Below are 12,765 nucleotides of genomic sequence, written 5' to 3' on the forward strand. Positions count from 1 at the left end.
TTAATCTTATATTATTTTAAACTGTTTTAAATATAAATAACAAGTGATAGATGTTATCACAATCTATTACTTCTCAACTTTTTTGTTGGTATCCTGTGTTAAGCTGAACTCCTTGATCTTAATGTAGTAAAATAATAGGTATTTTTTATCCAAATTTTCCTTTTTTGAGATCTTGTTTTAAGAAAATCTTTTTTTGTTCTAATTCAACAAATGTTTATTAAATACTTACTGTGTGTCAAGTATTATCCTAGGCATCCTTTTTTTCCAAAATAAATAAACCTGTTACAGTTATCCATGACTCTGAGAGAGTGAGCTATACTAAGAATTACCTCTAGGGTGAACAGTAACGTTCTATTATTTGAAAATTCCTCTGGCAATATATGATTTCAGAATGATAACCTCTTTCCTGTCGTGCTTTCTTCCATCCTAGATATGCATTGTAGATGATCAGGTGGTCTGAATCCACCATGGCCAAAGCTGATTTTGCAAGATCTGCATCATCTTTTCAACCAATTGGTGTGGTAAAAGGAGACTTCTCTGTTATAACTGCAGCTAGTGTTGCCACTGGGTCAAGGCAGCCAAATACTGTACCAAAAATAAGCGTCTTGCCAGTCTTGACATACACAGGTAAAGCTGCAAGGTGTTGGCCCAACGGAGTCAGCTGAGGCTCATTTAGCTTACAAGCTCCAGTTTTTTGGAGGAAATTCATTGAATGGCTGATCACTGGGAGCTGAGGCGGATCTAAGGCTTTGAAAAGGATATCTTCAGGAGAATCATGATTACACCTCATAATATGAAGGCATAATTTCTCTAAAGGTACATGTAAGATTTCAGGAACAGAATAATCCATAAAGCCTTCATATTTTTCTCTTGTGTACCCCCAGAAGCAGAAGCCATCTCTGTCCTGCCCAGCTCTCCCCTCGCACTGCAAAGCACTGGCTTTACTGACAAATGTCTCAACCAAAGAACTCATCTATCTGCTTTCATGGCTCTTATTTTCTTCTGTTTTTCCAGTATCAATTACAAACTCAATATCTGGAATAGCGCTACCCGTCTCTGCAAAATTTGTTGCTAAAACAATCTTTCTGACTTCTGCAGGAGGAAGTGTGAGTGCTGCAGCTTGACCTTGGGTTGAAAGAACAGAATACAGAGCTATCCATTTATACCGTTCAGAATAAAACCTTTTATCATTTGATAGGAGATCATACAACTGCTGAATATGAGCAAGGCCTGGTAAAAAGATTAATACTGCTCCTTCAATATTTCCGACTTGGGAACTTTTATCTAAATACGCAAGAAGTTCTAAAATGAAATCCAGGTTGATTTTATGAGGATTCAAGTGTAGAGAATAGCATGCTGAGTGAAGTTGCTGTACTTTTGGTAGAATAGATTTAAATCAGCATTTGCTCTAGTCTGAACTGAAATATATTCTTGATTTTTTTTGATCCCCCTGCTTTGCTTGTAACATTAATGGTTATTTCTTCTTCCTTCTCCAGAAATTTCTGACAATATCCTGATTCTTTTTCCTGTACAAAGTCTGTTTCTTCTATTATATCTTCATGTTGAAAAGCCTCAGCAGAATAACTTCTTCCTGAAATCCTGAGAGTGGGGCAGTGTGTGAAATATGTGGAAAATTTTTCACTGTCCACAGCGGCACTCATAGAATCAAGTAGAGATCAGAATGTTTTTGTAAAACTTCCTTTAAGACAGTTAGTAGGAAGTCTGACTGGACACTTCTTGTACGAACCTCATTTGCAATAATGTGAGACACATTAGTAAAAAGACCATCTTCTTGAAGTTTCCTTGACAAAACCCCTGTTGTACAGTAGAGTACACTGGTAGATTCACAAGCTTCAGATAACATCCAGATCTGATATCCACACAAAGAATTCCTTCCTCCAGTTCCATTTTCACAGCCCAATTCATCACACACTCTGGTGGCTAAACTCACTGCTGAGATCCTTTGAGGTTAGGTATAGGCAATGTTACATTTACTTGCTCCCCACTCATTTAGAAGCAAATCTTCCAACAGAAAATGTGGTACCTGAGTACTTTCATCACTCCTGGTTTTACCTGCCACAACCACTCCCCAGTGCCTTTAAGAGTTTCTACACCTGCATCCAGATGTTTAAATACAGGAAACTGCTGTCTTTCCTTTAGAAGTCTCTAAGACTTAGGTGTGCTTTGCAACTTTCTAAAGAGGTTTCTAACATGTTCCAAATCTTCCGCATTTGCTGATACCAAGGACAGTGCAGAAAAATCCTCATCAGAAACTAAATTTTCCCAAGATTCCTCAGGATTATTAGAGATTTCTCTCTTATTTTCAGAATGTTGTTGTCGCTGCTGTTTCAATATATTCAAAAGTTGGGCAATAAAAAGATCACATGGTTTATTGGTTTTCATTTTATTTAATTCTTCTCTTTTCTTTTCCTCATCACTGTACTCCAGCCAAACATCTTGGGAAGTAGGATGAAGTCACTGATAAACTGACTGCCCTTTAACTAAATGATAAAGAACTAAAGTGCCTCCCAGGTGCTGAGCTTGCATGCCATCCTCTGTTAAGATTGTAGGCAACCTACCAGGACAGCATCTTCAGACTTGATTACCCTAACCCTACATTTCCAGCATCTACCTACTGGAACTTTTTCAAAGGAAGGATTTCGACTTTTGGGAAGAGTCTTCCTGAACCAGTCAATCAGAAATTGTTTGGGAGATTTTCCAGTTCAGCGTTGAGCAGTACAGTCAAAATTTCTTACATCATGAGGTTCTTTTTATCTTTCTCTTCTTCAGTAGCAGCTGCAGATTTTTCAAATAACTGAAAAGTTCAATGCACTTTCTCCTTCTATGGCCACAGGAGGCTTTTTTTCTTTCATTTTGTTGATGTGAAATCTTTATGGCTGGATTAAATACTGGATCATCTTCTAAAGTTTCAATTTCTCTTTGAAATTTCCTTATTTTTTCCTGAGCCTCCTTTTGGTCTTGCCTGGTTTTTTTTTTTTTTTTTTTTGGTTTTTTTTTTTTTTTTTGTTTTTTTTTTTTTTCCAGTTTAAAGGCAGCTGCTGGCTCCTTTGCATCTAGCAGTTTTGCTGCAAGATGTAAATAACTTTCGTTGGGGTCAATTTTTTTTTTCCTATTCTTCTAAACTTTTAGAATTCTCATTCTTTTCTTCTTCATTTGTTGTTTAGTGTACTGTGAAATCCACTCTTTCATATTTGCTTCCATATTTCCTTCTTCCTTTTTTGGCTTCATCTTAGGGTCTTATTCTTTTGTTTGTTTGTTTTGTTTTAGGTTGCAATGGAGGTGAAATAGTGCTTTGTATAGGAGACTGCAATTTCAGCCTACTTTTAGGTTGTTGCCCTTCAAATTCTTAACTGAATCTTTCAGTGCATCATTTGCAAGGTTTAAACAGAGCCAATCCAAGGCAGAATGAAGGTCACCTCCATGTAAGAGAGCATTGGTCGTGACATCTTCAATGTCTTAGTCTTAAATAAAAATGCTTGTAAAGCTGTGTAAAAATCCTGCAATTTTTTGGCATTAAGTCTTCCAGAAATCACTCCCTTGTCATTGTTTTGCTTGTCATTGCTCACTCCCATAATTCCTTGCTCTAATTTGTTATTAATTACCACTTTCAACATAGATTTACCCAGACTTGCAGGACAACCAGAATCATTTGTAGAATTAAAACTATAAATTTTGGGGCCTTGCTTGACTCAGGGCTCCCTGGTGCTTGCAGCGGTGTCGGGAGGGAGGCCTGGACACCGGCTTTTTGTTTTGGGCCTCCTGGGCAGTTCCAGCCCCAGTGGTTGATTTGGCTCTGAAAGCAGACATGGCGGCCCGGACCACCGGACCACCGTGGTCACCAGAGCCATGTGTTTCTTGTCCTTGCCGCCAGTGTTGCAGCTGTGGCAGAAGATCATTCGCGGTGCAGGCCCTGGTGCTGCCACCAAGAGCTCTTCACATTTCCTGGCTCCTGTGACACCACCCTGCGCCCTCGATTCCAAGAAAAGCTTTCCTGAAAGAAGGTAACAAACATATCTTCTTGTCTTTCCTTCTTTATGTTTTTTACTTGCCATATATGAGTCTGCTTTGTGTATCTTGCAAATTAGCTATTCTGCTTTACTTTTCTCCATGTCATGGATCTGTTTTTACAGCAGTACGCACTAAACAATGTTTCCCCACTGGTGTCTCCTTTCATCTATATGATATTCACATGGATCTATTTCTGAAACCTCTGTTCTGTTCCATTTATTTGTTTGGGGCTAGAGCATCATAGTTTGATAACTATTGTTTAGTTGCATTTCTTAAAATCTGGCAGGATAAGTCCCCTCCTCTTTTAAACAAAATTGATTTAGATATTTTGACATTTAATCTTTCATAAAATTTTTACTCCTTGAACCATCTTGCTGAAATTTATCTTGACATTGCAGTGGTTTTATAAATAATCTGGGTGCAATTATGTTTTTAAAGAAGACAAATTTTGTCTTTAACCTTATTCTTCTTTTATCTATTTTGGTTTAGATTTTTATTCTTTTGCATTTTGGTAGGATTTTTTTCTGCATACGTTATAGTTTTTTGTTTGTTTGTTTGTTTTTTGCTTTGACTTAAGGTTTTTCTATTTTTTTTTTGGAGTGGGGGTCACATTATCTTGTAATTTTTTTATTCTGACACATACCCTAAATAGAAAAGGTATGCATCATGTATCTGTACAACTTAGAATAAAATAAACATCCGATAACTCACCTCAAGCTTAAGAATCAGAACAATATTCTCCCCACTACCCACATACCCTACGGAGGAAACCTACTCTCTCTATTATTGGGTTATTCATGTTCTTCCTTTTCTTTATGGTTTAATCATAAAGCTATTCTCATATAGTATCTTAATTTGTTTCACATTGAATTTTATACATTAAAACATGCTTTGTATATTTGTCTGAGATATTTTTCTTTTGCTCAAAGCGAGAATGAGCTATGTTAATGTATATAAGTGTAGTTCATTCTTTAATACCACTATAGAATGTTCAATTGTCTGAATATACTCTGAGTTATTTATAGTTTCTGTTGTTGATTGACATAATGAGTTGTTGTCAATACTTTATAATGATGACTGATGCTGCTATAAGCTTCCCTATACATGTCTCTTGGTACACAGGTGCAGACTTCTGTTGCACAGCAGCTCTCATAGTGTGAACCCTGGACCAGTAACATCAATACCACTTGGAAACTTGCTAATAATGCAAGTTATCCAGCCCCACCCCAATCCTACTGAGTCAGAAATACAAAGGGTAAGACCCAGCAATCTGTGGCTGCTATATTTTTAAATTGGTAAATGCTTTTATGAAGAAACATTATTGATTTTGTAAGTTGATATTGTACTTGACCGTCTTCCTGAACTCTCTTCTTATTTGAATATGGCATATGAGTTTTTCATCTTAGTTTTCTGATAGAAGCACTACAGCAATTCTAAATTCCTACACTAACTTGACCTTCTGGAGGACTGAATCTAATTTTTAATGAAGGCAATAAAACATAATTGGGAGTTTATATGAACAACACAAACTGAGCATATGCTAGCATTCTCCTATGTCTTCCAATCCTTTCCTAATTTTCTGTTATATTTAATGTATGCTTAACTCTGTGCTACAAAGTGAGGGGAAGACATGGAAAACATAAATAAAAAATCATAATGTCACTTTGCCAGGCTTGGAATTCTCTGTGTCTCCTACCTATTATTTAGCCTCTACTCTGTTTAGCATTTATTCAGTGGACAGTTCCTCAGCCCAGTCTCTGTTTAGTTAACTTGTTAGCTCTAAGAAAATGACAACCTTTAATCATGATTTACAACCTACATCTTCTTTGATTATGATTAAAAATATGAACACTTTTAATATTACTATGAGCCCCACATTTTGCTCAATATATTAAACTCACTACTTCAATGTACTTTATAAAATGCTTAAAACTTGTTGCTGATTCTTAATGAAAAAGCAAATAATCAAACTATACTTTTAGCCCTGAATAGAAGTTAAGTGGCAACCATATCCTTACCTTTAGGGAATTTAAATTCATCATCAAATTGAATTTATTATTTTTTTCTAGCTTTCTTTACTCTAATTCAGATATTTTTCTCAGAAAGTCCTCTTTTAGTAGGAATGGTCAGAAGTTTACTTGTATTATAATAAATGCATTATTATTTTCAAATTATTCAGCTTTTAGAAATGCACCAGGATGTTCAGCTATGCATTGGGTACATCAAATGACTGAACTCATTAAGAGTAAGAGGAAAGAAAATTGAATCATAGAACAGTCTTTACAGAAAAATATTATCATTTTATTACATTTCAAGATCTGAGTGTGCTTATTTCATCTTATCTGCACTATTAAATCTAGTTGAAACACGAAAAACAAATCAATTCATGAAGTTGAAAAAAAGTGCACAATATTCCTGAGAAGGCTTAAGCTTGCACTAGCATCTGTAAGCTTTTTGATAGGAAAGGGCTTAAGGCTGTAGCCATAAGAAGAAAGTAAAAGTCACAATGGCAAGAAAATACTAAAAACACCAACTACATTAAAGATCAATATAAATTATTATAGGTTTATTGTGATTTTTTATTTATTGTAAAGCATAGTCTTTAAATAATTCAGTCACCTGGTGGTAAAAGTGATAGTTTGAGAAAGAGCCTAACAATCAACTTGAGCAGTATTATCAAAGAAAGTTTTTCATTTTTCATTTGGGTTTCCATTGCTCCTTTTCTAGTGCTTCAACCACAATATTCGTGTTAAATGAAGAGATTAATTATTTAATTATTGTATATATTCTGTCTCCATCAAAACTGTTCATTAGGTTCTTGATGTATGAGTCTTAGGTTTGTGCAAGATAGTATTTACTATTAAGTACATATTCTATATTTCTTTGTATTATTATCAACCTGTTAATGAATAAATACTTATGTCGTTATGGATAAAATATGGTAAAATTAAAAATATTTTTTGAAATAAACTATTTGTTGAAAAAAAGATTGTTGACTAAAAATAAAAGCCATCCAGAATTTCAGTTGTTATTTATAAACTTAACATGGTTGTTTTTAGAACATTGCAAACACCTTCAATCATAGGCAAAGCATAAGCAAAATATAATGATACTCATTATAATACTTACATTTATATAAAATGATATCACTGATTTAATTAATTTCTTAATTATTTCCATGTGTTCTCATACCTTCTAAAAATTGCAGTGCACTAACCCATGATAATTTCTATATCTCTGGAATTATATTAACTTTATCAAACATGAGTGGAAAAGACTACTTCGTCATCCAAAATCAAGGTTTTAAGTTCTGGGTTGCTAAATAATTGATTCCTGGAAAAGAAGTAGATTTGCTAGCATAGCTGAACCTCCGTGAATCAGCAGACCAACTTGCTATAGTCAAGTTCCATGTTTACTTCAATGAGTCTTTTCAAGCTCATCAATTTTATAAACATATAATTGTCATGAAAGCCAGTTCTTTCTCCTTGTGTTATTTTAGCTATGCTTTTCAGACATTACCTGGTCAATTGGCCTTTCATTTGTTTCATATTGACTTCATCAGTTAATACTGTCAAAAAATTTTGCCTATCTTTGAAAATAATCTTTGTAAATAATTCATTCTGATTAACAGTGTAATCCTGAAATTTTCATTTTCAGATCACAATGTATTAGGTCAGTTGAGTCACCTTTTCCATTTACAACATTTGATTAAGCCATTATCTTTCAAAAATACAGTTTGACACCATTTTTTCCTTGCCACATAGGTAATAACTCACAGGTTTTAAAAATATATCCATATTATTTGCTACTTCTATCTTCCAGAGTTGAACCCAAATTCTTCTTCTGTTAAGTGTGGCTGGGACTTAGTGATTACCTTGTAACAAAATGAAGTAGAAGGCCGAGTGCGGTGGCTCATGCCAGTAATCCCAGCACTTTGGGAGGCCGAGGTGGGTGGATCACCTGAGGTCAGGAGTTCGAGACCAGCCTGACCGATAAGATGAAACTTCATCTCTACTAAAAATACAAAAATTAGCCGGTTGTGGTGGCAGGCGCCTGTAGTCCCAGCTACTCGAGGGGCTGAGACAGGAGAATTGCTTGAACCCAGGAGGTGGAGGTTGCAGTGAGCCAAGATCATGCCACTGCACTCCAGCCTGGATGACAGCATGAGACTTTGTCTCCAAAAAAAAAGAAAAGAAGTAGAAGTGATGATGAGCAACTTTCGAGGGTAGGTTATAATAAAAGGCACTGGTTTTTTTGTGGTTGTTTGTTTGGTTGTTTGTTGAGACAGGGTGCTGCTCTGTCTCCCAGGCTGGAATGCAATGATGCAATCATAGCTCACTGTATCACTGTAGCTCAAACTCTTGGTCTCAAGCGATCCTCCACCCTAGGCCTCCCAAAGCACTGGGATTACAGTGCCACCACACTCTGACAATTAGGACAATCTGTACAGAAAATGGCATGAAAGTTTCTCAAAGAACTAAAATTAGAATTACCATTCAATCCAGCAATCTCACTACTGGGTATCTACCCAAAGAAAAAGGAATCATTATATAAAAAAAGACACCTGCAATCATATGTTTATCAAAGCACAACTCACAATAGCAAAGTCATAGAATCAACGTAAGTGCCCATTAATGGATGAATGAATAAAGACAAGGTGGTATATTTATATACCATGGAATTCTACTCAGTCATAAAGGTGGAAATCATATCTTTCGCAGCAGTATGGATGGAACTGGAGGCCATTATCTTAAGTGAAATAACTTAGAAACAGAAAGTCAAATACCACATTTTCACTTACAGGTGGGAGCTAAAGAATGAGTGCACAGGAACATACATAGTGGAATAATAGACATTGGAGACTCCAAAAAGCGGGGATGGGGGTGGTGGGAGAAGGATGAGGGAGGAGAAATTACCCATGTGGTATGATTTACACTATTTGGGTGATGGTCACACTAAAAGCCCAGATTTCACCACTATACAATATATTACTGTAACAAAAAATCTATTTTTAAAATAAATATATTTTTAAAATAAATAAATAAAATGGAAACACTGTGGCTTCCATCTTAATTTCTCTGTCTCTTTCTTTCTACTGGGAAAAGCCAAGATCCAGTAGCACCTGAAAGGCCTTCAGTAATGACCCATGAGGACCTGAGGCCTGCCAGCATCCAGGTGTGTTAGCTCAGTAGCAGATTCTTCAGCTGCAGTGGAGCCTTGAGATGATTGCAACCTGACCTGGAGCCAAACTACCACGTAAAACCACTCCCGGATTCCTACTACTTTGAAAGTGAAATAACAAATGTTTCAGTGTGTGTTACATGTTAGATTTTCTATATTATAGATGATATCGATGTTTTTATATATTCACATTATGAGATTCACATGACTTCTTATGGGATCAATATATTCTATAACCCAAGCTTTATCATTCTCTTTTTATGCCCAAATGATCACAACTTGGCCAAGGGGAGGTGCTTTTGGTCTTTGAGCAATAACAGATATCTTTGGGTTTTATTCCTCCGACTTGAAATACTAAAACTTTCTGGCAACAGAATGTTTCAAACACGTCCTATTTTTTGAGGGGGTTGGGGTCATGTATAGAATGATACATATGCCTCCAAGCTGCATTACTTGTTTTTTCTCCACTCATAATATAGTTTCTTACCCATCTCCTTCCTCTTGTCAGTTAAGTCTGCATAATGCTGCCTCCTAGAAAAACTTTCCTGGCTTTCCGACTTAAAAGGGCCCTGGCACAGCACTTTCTATGCTCTTTTCTTATGGCACTTAAACCTATGACAGAAATTATAAAAACTGCTTGTAGCTTTTTGTATTTTAGACTATGAGAAGGTTTTTTTAATTAATTGATCTGTAGGAATGTATTACCATTTTTCTGAAATAAGGAAGTACATTTAAATTTTGATGCAAGTGTTTTAACTCTTTCCCTAAAGTTTTCTAACAATAAAATAGGTGATTCTTCCATATGTAAGTATAGGTGCAGTTTGAACTTTTATACTTTAAAAATCAAGAAAATTCCTTGAGTCATTTTCTAACTCCTGGCCTAAGCTAAAAATAAAAATAGGTCAGATTTATTGAAGACCAGCAGTGTGTCCTATACAGCACTCTGTGCTATATTTGTGTCATCTCATTTACTCCTGGAGATTACCCTGTGAGGTTGCTACCAGCATTACTCTTATTTTAGACCAAAGAAATTAAGTCAGAGGGAGACTTAGCAGTAGGCTCAAGGTCACAGTGTCAGAATTTGAAATTTAACATTTGAATTCTAAAATCCATACCTTGACCACTAATATCAGATTACTGACAGATTTCTAGAAACATCTATCTCATGAATGTGACATAAAATTTGAAGATGCATTTTGACAGACATATTTTTATTGGCAATTTTTATAGAAATGTAATTCATGGAAAAATAAAGAGCTTACAGAAATATCAAGTAAAAAGAAAGTTTTCATGATGCAGCTATTCAGGAAAAGATGTTCACACTTGGAATACATTTAGAAATATATAAATTATTATAAGGAAAAAATTAACGTTTGTCCCAGTAGTAGAATAATATTGAGAGGAGAAGTTCCTACTGACTACTTTTTATTGTTTTTTCTTATATACGAAAAAAAAGGTTAAGGAATTTTTTATTTTTATTTCTATCCACAACTTCTTAAAAGTAAACTTATGTGTTTGCCCTGCTCATTTTCCACATATGCAAAAATCAGCAGCTGCAGGGAATAAAATATGTAAGTGTGATATTATAATGTATCGCAAATTGTAAGTATCAACATCACAACCCACAGAATACAAATAGCTTAAAGGAAAGATCAGAGGTGACTTGGGAATAGGCTTTAAAAAGGCACAATCTTGATTCAAATTTTGTAATTGGCTCTTAGCTGATACTTTTTAGCCTACATGAAAGAATATATTAACCTTGAAAGCATAAAATATTATGTTTGTCCTCACAAAATATCGATCTAGATTTTGTACAGTTTATAAATTATATTTTTCTTTCACATTATTATTTTAAAAATACATTACACTGTCAATTCTACACAGTTGGAAAGTTAGATTCCTAATGTTAAGGTATCTCTTTTAATTAACATTTTTGTTTATTTTGTTCGTCTTATCTTTGTGTATTTTTCTCTTCCTGAGCTAAAAAAAGAATTCATCAGAAGTTTTATAGGAAGAATATGGATTCAATACTTTTAAATTTTATCTTTGAAATGCAAAACATAGAAACAGAAATGAATAATTCAGTGAGTCATTCACATACCTTGAAGACATCTATTTGCTTATATTTACTTGGCCTTAGTTGAGTCATCTGCTAGCAACTTTCAGAGAAGGGGCATACAAGGAAAAATAAACAATTTCTCTCTCTCTCTGTCTGTTTCCCTCTGTCTCTTCCCTCCTTCCCTTCGCTTTGTTTCTTCATTCTCTCCTTTCACTTTCTCTGTTTCTTCACTCCCTTCACTCTCTTTCTTCTCTCACTGTCATTTCCCTTTCCTCCATCTGTTAGTTTCGTGAATATACTGTTTTCCCAGAATGTAAGAAGCTGATAATATTTTTTTGGTTACCTTAGGTAATCAAAAGCCATGTATTTAACAGAGTAAAATAAATAAACTATTGGACAAAGTCTCACTTTATTTACATATTTTTTAACTCTTAACTTGTTTAAAATATTTTGTTAGATTTCATGCTATTCCTCCATATTGCTATTTTTCCATATATAAAGGCAAGTCTGAGAAACCAAAGTCATATTGAATATATTGATTATTTTCTAAATTATCTTATCCCCATCCCATTATTTTTTAAAATAAATTGAAACAAATTTTGCATTAATCTCAAATGCATGTTAGGAATGATTGATCAGCATTTGAATTTGTGGACATTTATGCAAATTTGAATTTATGGAAATCACACAAATGGCAAAAGTAATTCATCATCTACAGGTTCAATCATAGTAAAATGAAGCATTTAAAAACATGTTATTGTGAGTCTTCCATACCATATCCTCTCGACATATTTCAGCTCACCAGTGTTGTTTTGACTTAATTCTTAGTTCACTCTCCTGGGTGAGATCTTCTGATTAGCTGGTTTAGGGTTTGAAAATGCTCCATTCCCTGGTGGATGACTCAGCTCTCCTTCCATGCGTAACTTGAGAATTTCTTATAAGATGTCCATCTTACTGTCAGCACATGACTCCAATTACAATGGGCTTTGGGAGTTTCTTTTACTTGATATAAGCCAAGATTTAACAGGCAAAAAGTGTATCTTTTCATTAAAAAGTTACTTATTTTATATACTGTATTCATATCTATGACAACTCAGTCATTAAAAACAAATGTTTTACCACAGAGTATAATCTCCGAAATCTGGCCCTTTCTATTGTTCATTTCTATTGGGAACACCTAGCTCAGGCACTTGTATCTTCTTGCCAGCTTATCATAAACGTGATTTTAACTGGTTCCCATACTGGCTATACTTTCTTTTAAAAAAAATAATTATTATGGGTACATAAGAGTTGTATATACTTACGGGGTACAGGTGATATTTTGATACAAGTAGAAAATGTGTAATGATAAAATCAGGGTCATTGAGATATCCACAACTCAAGCATTGATCATTTCTTTGTATTAGGAATGTTACAATTATACCCCAAAAGTTATAAAGTATAATAATTATTGTTATAATTATTAGTAACTATAGTCATTCCATTGTGCTACTGAA

General features: G+C 34.7%; 1 pseudogene, besides 1 other annotated feature; it reads right to left on the reverse strand.

Annotated features, from left to right (window-relative positions):
- LOC647132 (DExH-box helicase 29 pseudogene) lies at nt 329-3,996 on the reverse strand (annotated as a pseudogene).
- Nucleotides 10,679-10,879: a silencer, noted in NCBI's record as "peak553 fragment used in MPRA reporter construct". NCBI's record gives its function as "represses an SCP1 promoter by STARR-seq MPRAs in K562 erythroleukemia cells {active_cell/tissue: K562}" and the evidence as "EXISTENCE:reporter gene assay evidence [ECO:0000049][PMID:32103011]".

Source organism: Homo sapiens, chromosome 1 (assembly GCF_000001405.40).
Source record: "Homo sapiens chromosome 1, GRCh38.p14 Primary Assembly".
In the NCBI taxonomy this organism is placed as follows: domain Eukaryota; kingdom Metazoa; phylum Chordata; class Mammalia; order Primates; family Hominidae; genus Homo; species Homo sapiens.